Source organism: Homo sapiens, chromosome 11 (assembly GCF_000001405.40).
Source record: "Homo sapiens chromosome 11, GRCh38.p14 Primary Assembly".
Classification (NCBI taxonomy): domain Eukaryota; kingdom Metazoa; phylum Chordata; class Mammalia; order Primates; family Hominidae; genus Homo; species Homo sapiens.
In genome coordinates, this window is record NC_000011.10 from 70,931,314 (window position 1) to 70,955,696 (window position 24,383).

Genomic DNA, 24,383 nt, shown 5'->3' on the forward strand with positions numbered 1-24,383 from the left:
AGAAACCCCTGGACTATACACGTTAGACGGGTAAATTGTATGATCTGTGAATTACATCTCAATAAAGCAGTCTTTTAAAAGAATAGCACAAAGCACTGGGAAACCAGCACCAGAGATGTCTGTCTACCCCTCCGAACAGCCCTCAGAAGGTGGCAGCGCTGGGACACCCTTGACCACAAGTCAGAGCTGCTGGCGTGGCCACGGCAAGTCAGGAAAGGGAAACCGAAGAGGCTATAGAATCACCCGTCCTTGTGTTCTCCTTCCTGGTGGCGGCACTGTCCACCGGTCACCAGGGCCAGCCCTTCGTAGGTCATCTCTAAGCCCTCACCCGCCCCTCTGAAAGGGGCAAGAGAAGGTGTCTGGATGCCAAGGACACAGCTATAATTAGAGACCACTTAGTGGCACACAGGGCAACAGCAAGGTGCTGGCGCCAAGCGTCTATCACAGCAATGAGGTCTCACATCTAGAAAGCCACTGCCTGCTGCTGAAGGGCCAATCTCTTCTGAGCAGATACCCTCTCAACGACGCTTATTATTTTTCCAAAGTGAAAATCATACTAATGTTTTTTATAAAGAAAGAAAAACATCATCCATCTTCAAGCCTGTAGAAATCCTAGCAATTCGAAATTAGCATAACAAATATTTTTTTAAGAAACACTGAAAGAGCCTCTACGTGCAGTATTTATTACCAATTTCCATAAGCCCACTCTAAACTTCTTAGAATTACCATAATCTCTATGATACGGTATCTTCCATCGGAAATGAGTGGAAATGTCTTTTTCAAGCTGAAACTGTGATGTTCTGGGAAGAAAAGAAAACATTTTGTAGACATCTGGTTCTGGACAAAAGTGTTGCTTCTGCCTTAGCCATGGAAATCCACCCCTTGGGGAAATCTGAACAGCCGAAACAAAGTTCCGTGGAGGAAACAAAGGCAGTGTCTCTGATAACAGCCACGGGAAATATTAATTTCCAGATGCACTCATTTTTATCTTAAAATCTTGTCCTATATAAAGCAAGCCCTCATCTTAGACACTCCGGGAGCTAGAAGGAATAAGGGGTCTTCAGACCCCCTCCGCAGCAGAAGCAGCAGGACTCTGCTGGGTCCGCGCACGTGCGGCCCCGCTAAGGGAAGCAGATGCATGGAAACTGTCCAGACCAGAGGCAGATCCATGCCCCTAAGACTTCAGACCAATTCCCAGGAAACTACCTCTGTTTACAAAGATTAAAGCCAATTTCCAAGTCAGGCATCTGGGCCACACCTTCCCATTGTGTGAGTAGAGATCCACCCTCAAGCATTCAATCTTCTGCACACACTGACCAAAGCAAATGCCAGGGTACCTTAGAAGTGGCCAGGCCTCAGAGACCCCATGTGGGGACCACCTGGCGGGGCAGGGGCTCTCCTAACTACACCCCCTGCCTAGGCTCATGCCTTCCATACAATATTGTCCTGGTGGTTGCCACAGAAAACAGAAACTATTGAAAAGCACAGCATACCACTTCACGTGAATTAGCATGGCTACTACATAGAAAAAAAAAGGAAAAAGAAAATTACAAGTGCTGGTGAGAATGTGGAGAGACTGGAACTCTTGCACACTGTGGCTGGGAATGTAAAATGATGCAGCTCCTATGGAAAACAGTACAGCCGTTCCTGGAAAAATCAGAAATAGAATTCCTATATGACCCAGTAATTTCACTTCTGGGTCTATACCCAAAAGAATTCAACCCAGAGACTCCAACAGGTATTTGCACACTCATGTCCACAGCAGCATGATTCACACTAGCCAGAAGGCGGGAGCAGCTCAGTGTCCACCGGCAGATAAATGGATGAACAAAGTGTGGTGCATCCATGCAGGTGGAATATTATTCGGCCATGAAAAAGCAACGAGATTCTGACACAGGCTACAACATGGAGGAACCTTGAGGACACTGTACTGAGTGAAATAAACCAGTCACAAAAAGATGAATACTGTAGGATTAAACTTAAATGAGCTCCCTAAAGTTCTGAGATTCATAGAGATGGAAAGTAGAATGATAGTTACCAGAGGCTGGGGGAGGAGGGAACAAAGAGTTGGTGTTTAATGGGGACAGAGTTTCAGTTTGGGAAAATGACAAAATTCTGGTAGTCATGGCTACACCACCCCATGAATGCACTTAATGCCACTGAAGGGCATGCTGAGAAATGATCAAAATTGATAAATTTTAGGTTATGTGTATTTGACTACAGTTGAGAAAAATATGAATTTCTAAATTCTCTTGAAAACCAGGAAGATCTGACAACAATGGGTATATATGTATTTATTGTAATTTTTTAAAAAAGCAACAACAGGCTGGGTGTGGTGGCTCATGCCTGTAATCCCAGCACTTTGGGAGGCCGAGGCGGATGGATCACATGAGGTCAGGAGTTCAAGACCAGCCTGGCCAACATGGCGAAATCCTGTCTCTACTAAAAATACAAAAGTTAGCTGGGCATGGTGGCGCACACCTATAATCCCAGCTACTCGGGAGGCTGAGGCAGGAGAATTGGTTGCAGTGAGCTGAGATTGCACCACTGCCCTCCAGCCTAGGTGAGAGAGCAAGACTGTGTCTCAAAAAAAAAAAAAAACAAAAAACAAACAAACAAACAAACAAAACAACAACAGCTGGGCGCAGTGGCTCATGCCTATTATCCCAGTGCTTTGGGAGGTCAAAGTGGGAGCATAACTTGGCCCCGGGAGTTTGAGACCAGCCTGGGCAACATGGCAAAACTCATGTCTACAAAATATCAAAAGAATTAGTGGTGTGTGGTGGCACATGCCTGTAGTCCCAGCCACTCCATAGGCAGAGGCGGGAGGATCACTTAAGCCTGGGAGTTGGAGGGTGCAGTGAACCATGAGTGTACCACTGCACTCCAGCCTGGGCAACAGAGCGGGACTGTGTCTCAACAACAACACCACCAAAAAAAAAAAAAAAAAACAGCAGCAACAACAGTGCCCACTGCACATTAAAACCAGGTAGTCACTTCCTGCCGCACACTCAGGTTCCTCACCCCAGGTAATGGAGGCCCGTGCAGCCGGCCGGCCTCCCTCCTGCTTCTCAGGCCGCCTCTGCTTCCTAAACAGCCCAGCCCCGCCCAGGGTGCAGCCTCAAACACAGGGGCTCTGCCTGGGAAGCAGTCCTTGGCTGTCCCCACCCTGCTACAGGGTAAGCTCCTTGGCTTTCCGAGGCCAGATGAGATGATGCTCCCCAGGAAGGCCACTGGGTCTCAGACTAAGTCACCCCCAGATAGCCTCTCCTGGCATTCTTTGCAATTGTCAGACCAAATTCCATCAAATCAAAGCCACCATCAATTAAGGAGGCTCCTTATTTTATGTCCCAATGATAAGAGAAAATGCTGCTGCTGAATATTTCAAATACTATTGATTATGATATAGAAGAGGCGAATGGGAACCCCTTAGGCTGACATGCCACGTGTGGGTAAATCACGAGTGGCGTGATTTTCCTCCCAGAGACCAGTGTGGCCGTTCAAAGAGGAGGACCTCCTTGCTGGGGAATGTCCTGTCCCCAGGTTTTCAATAAATGGGAGTTGAACTGCCTGCATTTTGCCGGGGACCGCGATGCAAACCAAAGCGACGCAGCAGCCGTGTGGAAGCATTCACGGAGAGAAGGGACGGGGCAGGTCTGGAGCTAGCCGCCCTGCTTCCTCTCTCCACGGGTAAACGGCCGTGCCTATGACAGGAGCCCTCCTTACCTGCGGTTTCAGTTACCTGCAGTCCAATGCAATCCGAAAATATGAAACAAAAAAAAATTCCAGAAATAAACAATTCACCTGTTTTCAATTGTGTGCCATTCTGGGCAATGTGATGAAATCTTGCCTCCTGTTGCTCCGTCCTGCCCAGGATGTGAATCATCCCTTTGTCCAGCGTGTCCGTGCTGTCTAGGCCACCCACCCATTTGTCACTCAGGAGCTCTCTCAGTTCTCAGATGAAAAACACAGCCCATACATGTAGGGGTCTGTACTAGCCTCCATTTCTGGCATCCACCCAGGTCCTGAAACACAGCCCACACAGGTAAGAGGGGTCTGCTACAGTCTCATTTTGCAGATTGAAGAACCGAGTCCTCAGTTTGTAATTAGCCCCTATTACGTGGTTAGCCAGGAGTGAAAGGGAGAGTGACAGCCAAGCAGACGGGTTCAAGGACACCTCTGAACCACCTGGAATCCATCTCAGGAGGTCACTCCCCCTGGGTCATGCTGAACTTTCCAACAGCCTAAAACCTAAAACCACAACCGAGTCTATTCTGGCCTGGACATGAGGTCTTTTCTGAAACTGGGATGCTAACCTGTTATTTATTTATTTAATCAGCAAACACATCTACCATGTGCCGGGCCCCGAGTGGGACAGCTGCCTTGAATGAAGACATGAAAAAAACAGACTCTGTCCTAACTAGACACTTTCCAAGATCTGAAAGGCCTACTCCAAGAGACAGCAACTTGGGAATGTTTTAAAACTCCATGTTCTGAAAAGCATAGCGACTCTTTGCCCTGAGTTCCTCGTCATGTGAGCGGGCCTCTTACACCGCCCCCGCAAAGGTGAACCATTCCAGGTTAAGCAGGGATTTGGACGTGCCCATCATGAACAGCCTTGGGTTCACACCCGCCAAGGACCATCTCTTTCCCCTACCTGTCCCTGCTGCACCGGCTGAAGTGAGCACCATTCCTGGAGGCCTGCGGCTGAGGTCTCACACGGATTGAAATCAATTTGGCCACATTAATGTCTCAGCTGACTGAGATTTCTCTTTCTCAAGTAAACACCATTCCTTAAATGCCAGCTCTGTGGAGCTTATTCTCAAAATGTTCAGAAAAAGGAAAAACCCATGAAGAAGAATCATAGCACTAAAACCAATGCGAGAGTTTTCAGATACCTTTAAAGCAACAGGCGAGGCCAGGCGCGGTGGCTCACGCCTGTAATCCCAGCACTTTGGGAGGCCTAGGCAGGCAGTTCACCTGAGGTCAGGAGTTTGAGACCAGCCTGGCCAACATGGTGAAAACCCATCTCTACTAAAAATATAAAAATTAGCCAGGCATGGTGGCACGTGCCTGTAGTCCCAGCTACTGGGGAGGCTGAGGCAGGAGAATCACTTGAACCCAGGAGGTGGAGGTTGCAGTGAGCCGAGATCACCCCACTGTACTCCAGCCTGGGTGACAGAGTGAAACTCTGTCTTAAAAAAATAAAAAAGAGAGAATTATATAAAAAAGTAAAACTAAAATAAGGCAACAGGCAAAAGAAGCAAGACCATGTGTTTGTGTGTTTGTCTTTGCTATTTATTTCTCTATCTTGTTGACAATCATTTTGGTCTCTGAAGATCATGTTAGCAACCAAAAGCCAGAGCTGAAACAGTTCTCCACTAACGAACAGGTTCATAGAGAGCTGGTGCAGGCCGGGTGGGTTCAGGCCTCCTCGCCTCCCGGACTCCAGCCCATGTGCACCCTCAGGGTTCCCAACAGCCCTCCCTAAAGAACAGCCAGAGACTGTGAGCAGGAAAACACCTCCAATGAAGGGTAACGCACACTGGTACCCACTGTAAGTCCTCAAGGTGATTCAGCCAGCACTGGGTTTCCAGTTCCAAGTAACCTTCATTTCTCCTTGGTACTGACTCTTCCACCTTCCTTTCCCTCCCTGAGATGTCTTGATTGGCCTGACCTTTTTTGAAATGTCACTGTTAGCTGTCGCTTTTAAGTTGGAAGACCGAGATTTGTAGCATCAGTCACATACTTCTGCCCTGACAAACCCCAGTCCTCTGCGTGGAGTCAGAACATGTCACTTACCAGCCCTGTACAAGCTAAGACGCTGTGCAGGGACCTCTGGGTTCCTCAGGATCGATAGAGCCTGTGTCTAGAAGAGTTTAAGAGTCACCAAACACTAGATGCACAGATGCTCTCAAAGCTCAAAGGAGATGGAAGAAAACATCCCTTGGGGAGAACAAGTGACGGGAGCACAGAAATCTTTTGAAACTCCCCAAGTCATGTGGTAACAGGGACGTGTCCAAAACAAAAGCCCCAAATGCCTTCAGTGATCACTGCTGCCTGCCTGATGGAGGCTCCCCAGGACCTCGCTTCCCTGAGAGCCCGGTGAGGCCCCTCCTATGTGACCTTCGGATGATGGACAAGTGACATCGTCAGCCCCCTGGGGTCTCCCAGATCCTACAACTTCCTGAGGACATTTACCTTCATCAATTGGTGGCCAATGCACCTGGAGTACCCAGAGGGCCTGGCCTTGGCAAGTGTGCAAAAGATGGGGGTGGCCACCATTGGATCATGTGCATTCTGCTATCAAAGATCACGGTCACAGTGGCTACTCCCATCTTTTGAGTACTTTATAGTGTGTGTGCGTGCATCTTTTTTTTTTTTCTTGAGGGGCAATAGAACATTTTTTAAAAGGCAAAGCTTGGAGAAAAAAGGTCTAGGTCAAGTCCTGGTGTTGTCCCTGTTTACTCAGGAACCGCTTATTGTTGAGGAACACAAATCCACTCAGATGGGCTCAGTCCCAGAGGCAGAATCTCACAAAAACCTAGTGCAGGGTGTGTGACCTCTCAGAAGCCAGAGGGCCTTTGGGGCCTCTCTCTTCATTTGCATGTGTGTGTGGATGCCTGTGTGCATGCCTGTGTGTGTGTGTGCATGTGTGAGCGTGATCTATCTTATTCTCTCCAGTTCTATATCACCTTCTCACTTTATTTTTTTCTGGCATGTCCTTCTCCAGCTTCTGCCTCCCTAGGAGCAGAGGGCTCTTCATAATTACAGCAGGAATGAGTCTCTGCCCCAATCCCAGTTTCCCCAAGGACAAATCCGATTGGCTCAAAATTAGCCAATTGGCTAGGGACAGAGTGGGGTGAAGGTCGGAACGGAACCCAGAGAGGGTTTTCAGGTGGGACCAGCATCACTGTATGTGTGGGTGTGGTGGAGGGGGGTGTCCTGGGCACAACTTTAACCCCTTTGAGCCTAGAGGAGATGTGCTGAGGATAAAATAACACAGAAGGAGCAAACGAAGGTAGAACCACTTCATGAATGTGATCCACTTAGTTAATACTCTGGAATATTGTTGAATACAGGATTCCCTCCCCAACAAGGAAAGGCATGTTCCTGAAAACTTACATGCAGCTCTACTCAAGGGATTACTGAAACAAAAGACGGGAGGCACAGAGGCTATCAGGGGACTTATAAAAATACATATATGTGTCATTTTGCTCACTAAGATTTAGCCAAAGAAACAGTATTTACTCACAGCCACCTGTACGGGTCAATCCTGAGGAATGTGCTGAGCACAGGCAGTCCCTGCCCTTTGGAAACGCGGCTTCTAGTCGAGGAGATGATAAAGAGCCCAGAAGGCAATGGGCAGCCAGCCAAGGACAGGGAGAGGGAAGCCCAGGAGCTGAGGAGGAGGAGGAGAGTTCCAGGCAGAGGAACAGCATATGCAAAATGCCAGAGGTCAGAGTCAGGCTAGTGGACTCCAGTTCCACACACCTAGAGCATGGAATGCAGTGAGCACGGCAGAGAAGGGAGGTGACGTGATAACCGCCACACTCAGAGGGCCCTTCTTAGCGGGGCAGCTGCAGGGAGTGACACGACCCCATGTGTAATCTAGAAAGGTGAGGAGAGGGTCTGGGCCACCAGCAGTGGGAGAGAAGCTGGTGGCTAATCCAGGAGAGACACTAGGGCGCCGGAACTATGGGTGGCAGCAGGGACAGAGGGAGGCAGACAGGCTGGAAAGACCTTCCAAAGGGAGATGACAGACCCTAAGGGAACCCGGGGTGACTTTCTTTCTCATGAATAAGATGATGAGGACCAGGCTGTTCTTTCTGACTTTCCCTCCGGGGCTTTGGGTTTTGCTGGGAGCTTCTCAAGATCTCGTGCACTTACGTTTAAAAAGAGGATAGCTCCAACATGTTGGGAGGCCAAGGCGGGCAGATCACCTGAGGTCAGGAGTTTGAGACCAGCCTGACCAACATGGTGAAACCCCATCTCTATTAAAAATACAAAAATAATTAGCTGGGTGTGGTGGTACGTGCCTGTAGTCCCAGCTACTCGGGAGGCTGAGGAAGGAGAATCACTTGAACCTGGGTGGCGGAGGTTGCAGTGAGCCGAGATTGTGCCATTGCACTCCAGCCTGGGCAACAGAGTGAGACTGTCTCAATAAAAATAATAGTAAAATAAAACAAATAATAATTTCCAAAAAAGAGGCTAGCAAGGTGCTAGCAAGGTGCTCCATGTCTGGGGCAGCCTGCTCACCAAGGCCTCTCCTGAGCTTCGTTCTCCATCCAACAGCTCAACAACTTTGGGATTTGCTGACCTGGGCCCTCCTGGTCCACCCTGGTCCTACAGAACTTCTCACACCTCATTCCCTTCCCCATGATGGACCAAGAAAGGCCCCGTCCTACCCGCAGCCCTCCCCGCTGCGTGGCTCCTCTCTTTAGAGGTAGGCAGAACAACGGCCTAGAAGAGATCAAGTCCCAATCCCTGGAGCCCATAAATAAGTGAACTTTGTCTTCATAGATGTCATGAAGTTAACGATCTTCAGATGCAGAGACTATCCTGGATCATCCAGGTGGGCCCTAAATGTATCCCAAGTGTCCTTCTAAGAGGGTGATTTGACGCAGAAGAGAAGGTAATGTGACCACAGGGGTTGAGCTGGGGTGGGGGTCCAGAGATTGGTGTGATGCTGCCACAAGCCAAGGAGCACCAAGACTGCCCATCACCACCCAGAGCTGGAGGAGATGAAGAATGGTTTTTCCCCAGGGCTTCCAGAAGGAAGGCAGCCCCACCCACACCTTGATTTCAGACTTCTGAACCCCTCAACTGGAAGAGAATCAATTTCCTTCCTTCCTTCCTTCCTTCCTTCCTTACTTCCTTCCTTCCTGCCTTCCTCCTTCCCTTCCTCCCTCCCTCCCTTCTTCTCTCTCTCTCTCTCTCTTTCTCTCTTTTGAGACAGAGTCTCGCTGTGTCACCAGGCTGGAGTGCAGTGGCGCGATCTCGGCTTACTGCAACCTCTGCCTCCTGGGTTCAAGCGATTCTCCTGCCTTAGCCTCCTGAGTAGCTGGGATTACAGGCACATGCCACCACGCCCAGCTAATTAGCTAATTTTTGTATTTTTAGTAGAGACCAGGTTTCACCATGCTGGCCAGGCTGGTCTTGAACTCTTAACCTCGTGATCCACCCACCTTGGCCTCCCAAAGAATTTCTTCTGTTTCTACCCACCCAGGCAGTGGTCACTTATCACAGCAGGCCCAGGACACAAAGGCATCTCTCCCATTACCCAGTGCCCCTCCTCCTCTGATAATTCCCCCCAGAACCGACTCAATTTTTCTCAGAGGATAAATTATAACTGCCATAAACCATTGTCAAAAGGGGTGACAGCAACACCCTGACGAGAGGGTGAACATTGGTTGCTGGAGGGGGCTTGAAGCACAGCAATGCAGTGATAACTAAAAAGATTTACAGCCTATGTGGGGCATTAAAACTTCATGGAGGGTGCAAGAAAAAAGGAAAAAATGGCTGAAAAAGCACCAGCTTAAATGAACAAGCACCACACAGGGGTCATGGGCACTTCCTTCCTTTAGTCATAAAATATCTGCTGAGCTCCCAAGTGTGCTATGTGGCAGGGAGATGATGACCACGGGACTGGCCTCTGCCCTTCTGAAGGATTCTTTCTGGTGGGAGACAAAGATAGAGATTTATGGGTTTGAATCCCAGGAGGCAGAGGGGCTGATGGAAAACAAGTTTGGTGTCTGATAGTCCCCAATTTCAATTCTTCCTCATAAGCTTGTCGGTAAAATTGGTTCATAATATTTAAACATGCAGAACATTCAAGGACCATGTCACACCAATAAAGTATCTGGCCCCTATGTGTATACAGTGGATACTCAATACACGTAGTCCTCTCTCCCCTCCCCTGAGTTCTATCTATTCATGAACTAGACAGATAGCTAACTCCACACACTGCACAAAAATGGAGGCTGACACACTTAGACACACGATGCCTCCCAGAACTACATCTGAAGGATGACAGCAGGCCGTGTGTTGAAAGCAAAATATTGCAGAACTACAGATAACAGAAGCATTACGGTAAACTGAGAAAACTACTTAATACTCCTGACCTGAAACATATCTCCTAAACTTGCTGTTGGGGTCGCTATGGACTAAATTGTGTGTCCCCTCCCAACTCTCCCAAATTCATATGTCAGAGCTCTAATCCCCAAGGGGATGGCATTTGGATTGGGACCTTTTAGGGGTGTTTAGGTTTAGGTGAGGTCATGAGGGTGGGGCCCCACGATAGGATTCGTGTCCTTATAAGAAGAGGCACCAGAGAGCCAGCTCACTCTTTCTTTGCCACATGAGGGCACAGGGAGAAGGAAATCAGCCCCCATGAGAAATGGAATCAGCCACAACCTTGCTCGGACTTCCAGCCTCCAGAACTGTGAGTGATAAATGTCTGTTGTGTAACACCTCCCAGCCTACAGCACTTTGCTATAGCAGCCTGTCTTTGTCTGTTTTGTGTTATAACAATAATATAATATATAATAATAATAATATAATAATACTGGAGACTGGGTCATTTCAAAAGAAAAGAGGGCTGTGTGTGGTGACTCATTCCTGTAATCCCAGCTATTTGAGGGGCCAAGGTGGATGGATCACGAGGTCAGGAGTTTGAGACCTGGCCAACATAGTGAAACCCCATCTCTACTAAAAATACAAAATTAGCCGGGTGTGGTGGTGGGAGCCTGTAATCCCAGCTACTCAGGAGGCTGAGGCAGGAGAATTGTGTGAACCCAGGAGGCGGAGGTTGCGGTGAACTGAGATCACACCACTGCACTTCAGCCTGGGCGACAGTGTGAGACTCTGTCTCGAAAAAAAAGGAAAAGGAAAGAAAAGAGGTTTATTTAGCTCAAGGTTCTGTGGTGTGGGAAGTTCAAGGGCATCGCCTTGGCTTCTGGTGAGGGTTTCTGTGCTGCAACACAACATGGTAGAGAAGGTCAAAGGGGAAGTAGACACATGCAAGGAGGAACCACACCTGAGGGGTGTCCTGGCTTTATAACAAGCCATTCTTATGGGAACAAACCCATTCCCATGAGGACTAATCCCATCTAGAGAGTGAAATCTCACTCACTACTAGAGAACACCACCAAGCTATTCATGAGGGATCTGCCCCAGAACCCAAACACCTTCCACTAGGTCCCACCTCCCAACACCCCCACATTGAGGAATCAAATTTCAACATGAGATTTGGTGGGGACAAGCGAGCCATATCCAAACCATAGCACAGACCTAGCAGACTAGCAGAGTGTCATTTCCACTTCACTTCTAACAGATGAACTTGAGGATTTACATTCAGGGACAGATACTTCTTCAGGATAGAAACAGTGGATTATAAGTATCTCACCAAGCATCAGTTGCACTCTGCCCTCACCTTTTGCATTTCACAAGCCCTTCCTCCTTAACTCTGCACCAAGCTGTACCGGGTTAACACTGCCACTCAGTGGCCAGCTCAAGAAATTACATGGAGCCATAAGACCAGACAGGCCCTTTGCCTGTTCACTTACATTTGTTACTGAGGGTTCTGGGTCTGGTGCTGGGTGCCAGGAGAATAAAGATAGATGGGAAAGTGCATCCCTCTCAAAGCACTTTAAAGTTTAGCTTGGGAGACTTATGCATGAACCATTCATTGTAATACAATACAGAAAAGGTACCCAGCAAGTACTGTGGGAATCAAAATAAAAGCTTCCTGCAGAGGAAGCACTTCGGCTCTGAGGGGTGGGAAGGAGTTCACCTGGCAAAGGTGGTGGCGATGGAGCAAGCAGTCTCACCTGGCTGGAGAGACATCACATCATTGAGAAGATGGTGCTCAGTCACCGACATGTTCAAAGGGGTCTGTCTGTGTCTGGAGGAGATTATGTCCCCTGTTGGAGGTGGCTCAGCAGCAGAGAGGGTGGCTAAGGCACTTCTTAGATAAACTCAACAAAGAAAGTGTGGCCGTGCTAGGGAGGGCACCTATGGAGCCCTGCCCATGAAACTGGCTAGGACTACAACCCACTCTAGTGTCCTTAGGTGGAAACTCAATTGGATGCCCAGGCTTGAAGCACCTTGAGAACTAGGGCTCTGGCCAGGCTGCTAAGCAGGCCAAACCCAGGAGGAACCAGGAGCTTTTCCCATGCAAACAGAGATGGCAATGGGTCCAGATTTAGGGCACAGCAAACTCATGGGGTGAGCAGGTGGCAATACCCCTGGGCGGCAGGGACAGGGGCTGAGGAGGCAGGAGAAGAGCCTGGGCCAGAAGGATGGCAAGTCCTGAGTGCTGTGGAGCACTGACCCTGAAATGCAGTCTTGTTTGCAACACCCAGTGCCAGATCAGGAGACGGAGAAGAGGTAATATTAAAGATTTTCTCTAAACAAATGAAATTTAACTTTTACAGCAACAATGTCCTGTCTGGATGGATGCTTTGTTCTACATGGGGTATGAGCTGCTCCCCTCCCACCCAATCCCTTCCTCACCACAGGGCCAACCACATCCCACGCCACAGTGCTTTTTCAGGTGCTTGCTGCCTATTTGTAAATAGCAAACATCTGATCATCCGTCTTGATTTCCTTCTGTTTAAATATTACTTGTTGACTTCCTGCCAGGGAAGATGAGAGTTTCACTCATTTATCACACAGCCCAAGACAGCCACAGGCCCACTTGGTTCAATCATGGTTCCTGTGTTTATGCTATTATGGCTAGCTACATCTTGTCCACAGCAAGGTAGGCAGTCGACTGCAATTCTATTTCCCTCGAGTATATAACAGCTACGTTTTGAAATCTGCCTTTCTATTTACATGTAACGAATTTATCACCAAGTTCTGACAGAGGTGTAAATTGCAGAGCGCAGGTCTATTCCTGTAAGGTGGAAACACATCTGGCAATCACTGTTGCCTGGGTTTCTGAGTCACCCTCTCCCAGAGCCATCCACCCTCCTGTGCCCACCTAGGCCGAAGCTCCACACTCATCCCAGGCCCGGCCCGGCCTCTGCCCGGTGCCAGGGCCCTCCCCGGAGTCCAGGTCTTCCTGTCCCCTGGCTCACTCCCTCTCTGGGTGAAGCTCCTCTCCAGCAGCTTCCTGAGAAAGCAGCATAGGAGGGGCCGATTCGAGAACACGTGCATCTGAAACACCTCTGGGACCGTCTCACTGATTTGCTAGAACACTGGTTTGAAAGGATTTTCCCACTGCGCTTCCCATATGGCTGCTGAGAGGTCAGACCCCAGATCCTCTATGCGCAACTTGATTTTTCTCTCTTGAAACTTTTAAGATTGCGTTTCTGTTTCTATTCCCTGAGTTCTGAGCTTTTAGGACCTCCATCCTGCCTGGGGGTGTCTTCTCACACCAGGGCCCTTTCAACTGGGAATCACATCCATCTGCTCAGTGGCTTTGTCTTGGATGATCTCTTTGTTTATTTCTCCCTCATTATTCAGATGCTGAACCTACAAGATGACTCCTCCAATTCTACCTGATTCCAGGGCTCTCTTCCGCCTCCTTGTGTTCATCTCCAACATTACTGCTATGCCATTTTTTTGCAATCATTATTGATCTTCAAGAGTTTCTCAAATGCTCCCTGTTTCACAGATGCTATTATATTCTCTTACTGCACTGAGGATATTAGGTACAGTATCTCCTTTGGAAATTCCCTTCTGTTCCCCAAATTGTCTTGGTTTCTGCCCGGACTATTTAGTTCTGCTTGTTTCATATCTGCCTTTGAGATGACAGCTTTCCTTTAATGACAGGTGATTATCAGCTGCCCATCTCCATCTTCTACTTGAGGCACTTATGCAGGGGATGGAAATTGTGTATGGGCGGCTCTTGTCAAAAGAAGGACTTCCCTCGGGGTGCTTTGCTGGGGAGATGAACCATAAGATCCTTGGAGGAAGCATTCTAGTCAGAGTCCACAGCAGTGCAAAGGCCCTGGGGTGAGCATGTGTTTCCTGTGCTTGATTAAAAGCAAAAGTGGAGGCCTGGGAGGCTTGAGCAGAGGGAGGAGGTGAAGGCAGAAGGCTGGTGAGATCAGCAAGGCCCCCACCAGCCTGGTCGTGGTTCCTCCAAGGTGCTGTTATCAGCCACACCTACGGCCTCATGTGGAAGGGCCAGGCCTCCAATACGCTGAGCTCCGACGGCTTCCAGCCCTTCCTGCTGCCATCAGGGATGGTTTTCTCCAGACTGCCACCTCACCACAACCACTTCTTCATTTCACACAACGGAGCCCAGGGTTGTGTGCCTGCCAGGCCTTCAGCATCACTAAGCTCATGGAGAGCCTTGACCCGCAGGTACCTTGCAGGCCCCAGCCTGAGTGCATCAGGGCATGTGGGCAGGGTTGACCTCAGGTGGCTTTGCTTAGAGAGACAACAGAATGACTTTAGACTCCTGAGACACTAGGTTACCACCAAAGCTGCAGGTGCCTGGGGATGCAGCACCCCTGAGTGGGAGGTTATGGGGGAAGAGCTCGAGGGCTCACCCTTCCAGCGCACAAGGAATGGCTCTCCTAATTATTGGATCTACAGCCCTTGGTGGGAATGAACGTGACCTCAAGTCCTCTCTTTCACAGCCTCCCTCTCCACTAACCAAACCTTCCCAGTTCAACCTCCCTCTCCACTAACCAACCCTTCCCAGGCTCTACCTCCCTCTCCACTAACCAACCCTTCCCAGGCTCGCCCTCCCTCTCCACTAACCACCCCTTCCCAGACTCAACCTCCCTCTCCGCTAACCAACCCTTCTCAGGCTCAACCTCTCTCTCCACTAACCAACCCTTCCCAGACACAACCTGCCTCTCCGCTAACTAACCCTTCCCAGGCTCAACCTCCCTCTCCACTAACCAACCCTTCCCAGGCTCAACCTCCCTCTCCGCTAACCAACTCTTCCCCAAGCTCAACCTCCCTCTCCGCTAACCAACCCTTTCCAGGCTCAACCTCCCTCTCCACTAAACAACGCTTCCCAGGCTCAACCTCTCTCTCCACTAACCAACACTTCCCAGGATCAGCCTCCCTCTCCACTAACCAACACTTCCCAGGATCAGCCTCCCTCTCTACTAACCAACCCTTCCCCAGGTTCACCCTCCCTCTCCACTAACCAACCCTTCCCAGGCTCAACCTCCCTCTCCACTAACCAACTCTTCCCCAGCATCAGCCTCCCTGTCCACTAACCAACCCTTCCCCAGGCTCACCATCCCTCTCCACTAACCAACTCTTCCCCAGGGTCAGCCTTCCTCTCCACTAACCAACACTTCCCAGGATCAGCCTCCCTCTCCACTAACCAACCCTTCCCCAGGCTCACCCTCCCTCTCTGCTAACCAACTCTTCCCCAGGGTCAACCTCCCTCTCCACTAACCAACCCTTCCCAGACTCACCCTCCCTCTCCACTAACCAACCCTTCCCTAGGCTCAACCTCCCTCTCCACTAACCAACCCTTCCCAGGCTCAACCTCTCTCTCCACTAACCAACCCTTCCCAGACTCACCCTCCCTCTCCACTAACCAACCCTTCCCAGGCTCATCCTCCCTCTCCACTAACTAACCCTTCCCAGGCTCAACCTCCCTCTCCACTAACCAACTCTTCCCCAGGCTCACCCTCCCTCTCCACTAACCAACTCTTCCCCAGGCTCACCCTCCCTCTCCACTAACCAACCCTTCCCAGGCTCAACCTCCCTCTCCGCTAACCAACCCTTCCCAGGCTCAACCTCCCTCTGCACTAACCAACCCTTCTCAATTAACCAACTGACTTGGAAAATCTCCCTGTGCTGACCCCAATCTGGTGAAATTCTTGAGGCACCTCTCCAACACACACACACACACACACACACACACACACACACACACACACACACACACACACTCGTGACGTTTCAAGGTTAGAAAACAGCCCTGCAGTACCCAAATGTAAGGAACAAGGCCAGCATTCTGGACTAAGAACCCATCAACTTCCAGAACATTGTGCAGTAGGGTCTGGCTGCAGAGCACCTGAAACATGGGAAATGTGCTTAAGTAACTGACATCTACATTTTTTTTTTTTTTTTTTGAGATGAAGTCTTGTCCGTCACCCAGACTGGAGTGCAGTGGCACAATCTTGGCTCACTGCAGCCTCCACTTCCAGGGTTACAGCTATTCTTCTGCCTCAGCCTCCCGAGCAGCTGGAATTACAGGCATGTGCCACCACCATGCCTGGCTAATCCTGGGTAATTTTTGTATTTTTAATAGAGACGGGGTTTCACCATGTTGGCCAGGATGGTCTTGACCTCCTGACCTCAGGTGATCCTCCTGCCTTGGCCTCCCAAAGTGCTGGGATTATAGGTGTGAGCCACTGCGCCTGGCCTGAACTCTACATTTTAAAAAATTATAGTTACATATAAATACCCATGTGCGTCCTGTGGTTACTGGACTGGACAGGGAGCTCTAGAATATTCTGCCAAATCCAGATGCCTCACTCAGCATCTTCATGAGATTTTACCAACGTTGCTTCCCATCCAGGATAGCATCTGGGTGGGTGACGGATGCACAGATTAAATGCCATTTTAGAGTTCTCTTCTGCACTGCTGGCACTGTACATCTCCCCCAGAGTAAAGTCCCTGCCAAGCAACGTGGCCCTCTGTGGTCTCATTTCCCACCACTGGTGTGGGCACCATCCCACCCCCACCTCTGCAGCTAGCCAGTCTCCTGGCTGCTTCCCACACACCCCAGGCATGCACTGACCCCAGGGCCTTTGCACGTGTCAGCCCCACTCTTTGAGATGCCTTTCCCTCTGACATCCTGAGGGCCCACTCTTTCCTTCCTCTTTTCCTGGTCTTTGCCCCAAATGTCACAGAAGCCGCCCTCGGCTCCCAGCGTGAAGGAAACTCGCTTCCGCATTGCCAGCTCCGTACCATTCCACCCTCACCCTGCTGTATTTTTCTTCCTGTCATTTACCAACCCCGACATGTTGCACGTTTCTCTGCTTACTTGTTAATTATCTAATGTGCACTTCCAGAGAGCAGAGTGTGGTGTGGCTCACTGATGTGTCCCCAGCACCTAGAAGACAGCGTGGCTCTTACGAGAAACTCCATATGTACTGGTGGAAATAATGAATTCGATCCCTGATTACTTTTCATCATAGATATGCACCGAACATCAGCCACACTTTGGGTTACCCAGGTTTCTACGCCCTAATCTAGAAATACAACTTCCACTTCCCTGTTTCTATGGGAACACAGAGTCTGAATCCCAAATAAGACTCAGAGGAACTTTTAAAAGAAGCTACTTCTAAATGACTGACTCCGCCAACTGCGTGCCCTCAGCAGGGCCACGACGCTGCAACGTGGAGGAGGTGGACCAGGGGCGGGCTGCAGGGAGCGGTGGGGAGTGTGGCAGGCTGAAGAGCACAGCCTTTCCAGAGGGGCCACGCTCCCAACCCCTGCCGAATGTCCACATGCACAGAGGCTGCCTGGGTGTGGCCACGTTTCCTAATTTTTCAAGAGAAGCTGGAAAGCTGAATTTTTTAATGAAATTCCTGGAAGTTTAAATACCAGCAACACATTCAATTTTTTTTAAATTAAAAAAATTAAATTTTAACATCTGGGCAGGTTACAATCAAGCTCTCTTGGGTCAGATCCAACCTCCAGACGGCCGACGGTGAACTTTACACTACGGCTCATTCTATCAACCAAACGAGAGCTGGGCCCCGGGCCCAGACTCACTGCCTGCCCTGCAGGAGGTTGACTGATCACAAGATGAATGGCAGGTACCAGCCAGTGCCCAGCTCCCTGCCAACCAGCTGCTTCTAAATACACTGGATAAACACACCAAAAGAAGAAGGGAAAAGAAATAAAAATAATGATTTGCTTGGTCACTCACATGTGGAAGAGAAAAGGCTAAAATCGAAGCTGATACTCCCTCATTCAGTCTGCAAGAGCCTCAGTACCGCCCCTCCCGGCTCCGCCCACAGAACACAGGCAGCGGGGGTGAAAGTGGGCGAAGAACCCTGTGCACAGCAACGTCCCCAGGCCTGGCATGCTGCCCGGCAAGCAGCTCCCCGGGGGCGCATCATCTTAGCAAACTCTCCCAGGACCCTGGGCTGCACAAGCTCAGAGACTCCGCCCGTCATGTGGGGAGACGTCCTCACTCTCAGGCTCCACCTGCTCACCCTCCCTTCACACTGAGAATAGGAAACCTGAGATGGACCAGAATCCTGGAGGTGGCACCAGCCATGTTTCTTCACCCTGCTGCATAGCCACCCAGGAACCCACAGGGTGACCTGGGCTCCAGACTAGGGCACCAAGCCTCACGGTTGGAGTGTTTGCAGGGATCATGGGGGGCCGGCTGGACACAACCACCTCCTCCTGCCATGGAAGGAAGTCCCCATCCCACACACTCGCTGGCACTGCCCTGGCCCATGCTGCAGGCCTCCCTGGGCCCCCGTGGCCTGGGCCAGCCTCTCTGGGCTCCCAAGGTTGGCCTGTTCCTACGGTAGGGCTGATGCTGATGACAGTATCCACAGTCATGAGGCACTGTCTGACCCCTCCACCTGCGCGTCTTAGTGAGTCGGGGCCTCTATGCCAAAACACCTGAGGCTGGGTCGATTATAAATGGCAGAAATCTATGGCTCACAGCGCTGGTGGCCGGGAGTCCAGGATCAAGGAGCCGGTAGGTGCGGTGCCTGGGGAGGGCTGCTCCCTGCTGCACAGGTGGTGGCTCTCAATGTGTCTTCATGGGCGGAAAGACAAGGCAGTTGCCTTCAGCCCTTTTTTTGGAGATGGAGTTTCGCCCTGGTTACCTAGACTGGAATGCAATGGCGCTGACCTCAGCTCACTGCAACCTCTGTCTCCCGGGTTCAAGTGATTCTCCTGCCTCAGCCTCCCGAGTAGCTGGGATTACAGGATTTCGCTCTATGGCCCAGGCTGGAGTATAGTGGCAAGATCTCTGCTCACTGCCACCTCTGCCTCCCGGGTTCAAGTGATTCTCCTGCCTCAGCCTCCCGAGTAGCTGGGATTACAGGCGAGCACCACCACACCCAGCCCATCACACCCAGCTAACTTTTGTATTTTTAGTAGCGACAGGGTATCACCATATTGGCCAGGCTGGTCTCGAACTCCTGACCTCAGGTGATCCGCCCGCTTCAGCCCCCCAAAGTGCTGGGATTACAGGCGTGAGCCACTGCACCAGGTCCACCTCCAGCCTTTTGTACAAGGGCACGAATCCCATCACGGGGGCTCTACCCTCATGATGTAATCACCTCCAAAAGGTCCCACCTCTTCGTGCTGCCACACCAGTGATTAAATTTCAACACAATTTTTTTTTTCTCAGACAGGATCTCGCTCTGTGGCCCAGGCTGGAGTACAATGGCGTGATCTCTGCTCACTGCCACCTTTGCCTCTCAGGTTCAAGTGATTCTCATGCCTCAGCCTCCCAAGTAGCTGGGATTACAGGTGCATGCCACCATGCCCAGCTAATTTTGTGTGTGTGTGTGTATGTGTGGGTGTGTATGTATGTGTTTTTTGTTTTGTTATGTTTTGTTTTGGTTTTTTTGTAGAGATGGGGTTTTGCATGTTGGCCAGGCTGGCCTCAAACTCCTGGCCTTAAGAGATCTGCCTGCCTAGGCCTCCCAAAGTGCTGGAATTATAAGCATGAGCCACTACGCCTGGCCAACACATGAATTTGAAGGCACATTAAGACTACAGCACCTATATGTGATGCTATGCAAACTTCTGGACACTCCCTTAACTGCAGTGATTAGCCCCATTTCAAAGAAGTAGAGAGGAGTTGCATTCATCTCCCCTGACTGCTGCACCATGACGTCATAAATTCATTTCCCCTGGCTGCTGCACTGTGATGTCATACATTCATTTCCCCTGGCTGCTGTGCCGTGACATCATAAATTCATTTCCCCTGGCTGCTGCACCGTGACGTCATAAATTCATTTCCCCTGGCTGCTGCACCGTGATGTCATAAATTCGTTTCCCCTGGTTGCTGTGCCGTGACATCATAAATTCATTTCCCCTGGCTGCTGTGCCATGACGTCATAAATTCATTTCCCCTGGCGGCTGGGTGGTGATGTCATAAATTCATTTCCCCTGGCTGTTGCATTGTGACATCATAAATTCATTTCCCCTGGCTGCTGTGTGGTGATGTCATAAATTCATTTCCCCTGGTTGCTGCATGGTGACATCATAAATTCATTTCCCCTGGCTGCTGTGCTGTGATGTCATAAATTCATTTCCCCTGGCTGCTGCGTGGTGACGTCATAAATTCATTTCCTCTGGCTGCTGTGCTGTGACATCATAAATTCATTTCCTCTGGCTGCTGCACTGTGACATCATAAATTCATTTCCCCTGGCTGCTGTGCCGTGACATCATAAAGTGGGTGGCTTAAACAATGGAAGTTTCTACTCTCACAGTTCTGGAGGCCAGAAGTCTGAATTCCAGGTGTTGGCAGGGCTGCCCACCCCCACCCAAAGGCTCTAGGGGAGGGTCTTTCCTGCCTCTCCCAACTTCAAGGACATTCCTTGGCTTGCGGCCACATCACTCCAATCTTGGCCTCCATCTTCACGTGGCGTTCTAACCCTTGTGTGTCTGTCTCTTTTCGCTTTTCTTAAGAGGACATCTTTCAAGATTAGGGCCTCCCCAATCCAGCATGAGGTCGTCTTAACTCAGTGACATCTGCAAAGGCCCTAGTTCCAAACAATATCACATTCACAGGTTCTAGATAGACATGAATTTACGGGGCAAACGCTTTGACTCAGTAAGGGAGCATTTGGAGACTTTTAAGTAAATCCTAAGTGGCCTGCCCAGGGGCACCAGCTGAGAAGAAACCCAAGCCAGATTTAAACCCAGGTTCTGCAGACGGGAATGCTAGGCCCCTGCTGTGCCGTCTGGCCAGATCTGTGGCTGAGAGTGGGCCGGTTTCCTTGGGGCGTCTCTCCTGGCCGAGGTCTTGTGCCTCAGTAAATGCAGACCCAAAATAAACCACCTTCTTGGGTGACTGAGAACCAGGAATAGAATTCTGGAAACAAGTTCCATCTTGTTCATAGAAATGGTGTTGGACACAACACAAAACCTTTCCAAGGGTGCGCTGTGGAAACCGTAGTCCTTTGCCAATTCCCAGCTGCATTTGCTCCCTCCTCTTTTAAAGTGGATAGACACAAGCTGTCTAGCTACTTGGCTGTCTTGTTCAAATAAATGGGATTTTATCAAATCACCCAGTAAGTGCAAAATGCAGTCTCTGGGTGGCGATGGAGCTAGTACCCGTCTCAGTGCTGAAACTGTTCTCAAGTTGGCTCCTATGCCGTGGCTTTTCTGTGTGGCTTTCGTTGGTGGCAAACAGCAGAGACGCACCCAAGCTGCTGACGATTTTCATGCAAAGGTGAGGCTGCTTCAGGGCAGCACTCTGGGGGACGCAGATGGCAGGGCGGCCCTGGCTTCGTGTGTCCGGGGGGGCCTGAGCAGCAGAAGTGTGGGAACTGACACCCACCTATGGTCTCTGGTAGCTGCTTTCTGTGGCTGTGGGAACAAATGATCACAAACAAGGTGGCTTCAAGCAACAAACCTTCCATGCAGTCCTGTAAGCCAGTGTCCAAAATGGCATCACTAAGCTGACCCCGAGGTGTCATCAGGGCCATGTTCCCCAGGAAGGCTCTAGGGGAGGGTCCTTCCCAACCTCCTGGCAGCACCATCTGATCTCTGCCCCCATCCCACGTCCCAATCCCACCGCCTCCACCTTCACGCAGCCTCCTTCCCTGTGTGTGCCCTACGAGGACCTTGGTGATTACGCTGGCTTACCCAGTGCTACACTTTGAACACTGGCCCTTTCCAATCCTCACATTAAAATTTAATCCCCAGTGTGGTGGTGTTGGGAGCTGGGCCTAGCAGGAGGTGTCCGGGCCATGGGGGTGGATCCCTCATGAACAGATCCACGCCCTCCCCTCCGAAGTGAGTGTATTAAATCAGGGATCTCCAGAGGGACAGAACTGATAGGATACATTTACACAGGAAAGGGAGTTTTTTAAGGGAGAATTGGCTCACAGCATCACAAGCAGAAGTCTCACAACAAGCCATCTATAAGCTGGGGAAGAGAGGAGCAGGTAGTGGCCCAGTCCAAGTCCGAAAGCCTCAAAACCAGGGAAGCTGACAGTGCAGCCTTCAGTCTGTGGTCGAAGGACCAAGAGTCCCCGGCAAGACACTGGTGTAGGTCCCAGAGTCCAAAGGCCAAACAACTTGGAGTCTGCTGTTCCAGGTCAGCAGTGGAAGGAAGCATCCAGCATGGGAGGAAGAAGGAAGCCAGGAGACCCAGCAGGCAAGGTCATCCCACCTGCATCCACCTGCTTAGTTCTTGCCGTGCTAGCAGCCAACTGGATGGTGCCCACCCATATTGAGGGTGGGTCTTCCTCTCCCAGCCCACCAACTCAAATGTCCACCTTCTCTGGCGACACCCTCAGACACACCCAGAAACAATACTTGACCATCCCTGCGGGCATCCCTCAATCAAGTTGATGTGTAACATTAACCATCACAGTGAGTGGGTTCTTGCTCTGCCAGTTCCCACTGAGAGCTGGTTGTTAGGAAGGGCCTGGCACCTCCCTGCCAGGGAGCTGGGCCAGCTCCCGCCTGTGGACTGACAGGCACGTGCACCTCTAGGAGAGCCGTGTGTGTATGTGTGTGTGTGTCTAATAGACAGTCTTACATGAACTTTACAATTTGCCCACATCAGCTCATAGAAATTGCAATGCAGACAGCAGCACAACAGGGACATCCTGGGACCCTGCCCATGGCACTCATCGGGGAAGAGGAAGGTCCTGGGAGAAAACGCCATGACCTTGTTCCCACATCCACGTGGATTTCCACAAAACAGGGAAGGCACAACCAAACAGTCTTGTTGGGGCTCATTTAACAAGGAAAGAAACTCAGAAAGCCACCTGGAGGGAAGAGAAGGGTCCGCTGAGCAGATTTCGTGGGTTTCTGAAAAGTGCAACGCCAGGAACCACAATATCACCCACGGTGTCAGGCAGCCTTCATCACGGACTGTCCCTCAACCACACAGTTGCCTCCACCAGCATGATCAGAGGAACTGCAGAGTGCACAGCCACTGGCAGAGTGCTCTGGCAGCCACTACCATGCGTGGCATGAGAAAATGTACTCATCCCCCTCTGGCTAAATTGCTAAATGTGGGAACTCAGTTTGGAGCTCTGTGCAAAAGGAAATCAGACGAAGGGTCTGGGGGGCAAAAGCCAGGCTCTGACATTTCGGGAGATCCGCCCTCACTTTCATGGGCTGAGTCCTCCCCCAGTGAATGCACTGGGGACAGGCCACATCCAAAAACGCCTTGCCCGGGATCCTTGAGTGAAGAGCGCAATACAACACAGAACCATTGCCAACGGCATTCCTGGGCCTCTGCCATCACTGGCTTAGCCTGTGGCGATGCTGGGGTCCATCACCTGATTGCCAGAGAACTGGAAATTCAGTTCTTTGTTTCTGGCTTCGGCCTTTCTCCTCCTTCTATGTGCAGTGTTAAGGGTTAAGGAAGAACACGGGGTCTGGCATGCAGCAGCCTATGCCCTGTTCATTGTCCCTTTAGGAGCTGTGTGACCTGGGCTCTTCATCCACAGGAGGCCCTGCTTCGTGGGACCACATGGAAAGGGCTCAGCACAGGACTAGGCAGGGTGCCCCCATGCACTGAAAGGTACCCAAACCACCAAGCACAGTGTCATTCATCAGAAAGACATCCACATCAAGGCCTTCTTTGTCGTTTCCCTCCCATTTCATCCTTGTCCTTCCCTGCCCATATTAAATTTGGGCCTTATTAAAATGGAGCCATTCTGAACGTCTCTCATTGCCACTGCCTTTTTTTCCTGATTTTCTCCACCCTTTCTTTGCTTCTGGATGTCTGGTTAAAAACTGTTGAATACAGCCTGGAGACCGACAGAATGACAGCACGTGGGGAGAAGGCTGCCCTCTCCAAATATACAATGCCAGGTGCTAAAGTCCCTGTATCCAAAAAACAGTGGAAGTCCCTTTCAGAATGCAGCTGCTGGGAGGCAGGAACAACTCCTCCAGTCAGTTCCCCTATGCTTCAGCCAGGGTTCTCCAGAGACACAGACCCACGGGGTGTGTGTGTGTGTGTGTGTGTGTGTGTGTGTGTGTGTGAATGTACACACACTTACAAATACATATATATTTACACATATATTTGTAATATGTGTCTATGTATATATTTGTGTATGTGTGTACTTTACGTGTGTATGTGTACACATGCAAAGAGATTTATTTTAAGGGATTGGTTTAAATGATTGTGGAGGCTGACAAGTCCAAAATCCATAGGACAGGGCAGCAGGCTGGAAACTCAGGCAGGAGTTGATGCTGCAGTCTTAGGGCAGAATTC

At 50.3% G+C, this 24,383-nt stretch overlaps 1 protein-coding gene across 19 annotated transcripts in view, besides 1 other annotated feature; it reads right to left on the reverse strand.

Annotated features, from left to right (window-relative positions):
- Window positions 1-24,383, reverse strand: part of SHANK2 (SH3 and multiple ankyrin repeat domains 2) — a 785,381-nt gene that overhangs the window by 463,460 nt on the left and 297,538 nt on the right. The gene's annotated exons all lie outside the window — the stretch shown is intronic.
- Window positions 20,159-20,359: a silencer, noted in NCBI's record as "peak1330 fragment used in MPRA reporter construct". NCBI's record gives its function as "represses an SCP1 promoter by STARR-seq MPRAs in K562 erythroleukemia cells {active_cell/tissue: K562}" and the evidence as "EXISTENCE:reporter gene assay evidence [ECO:0000049][PMID:32103011]".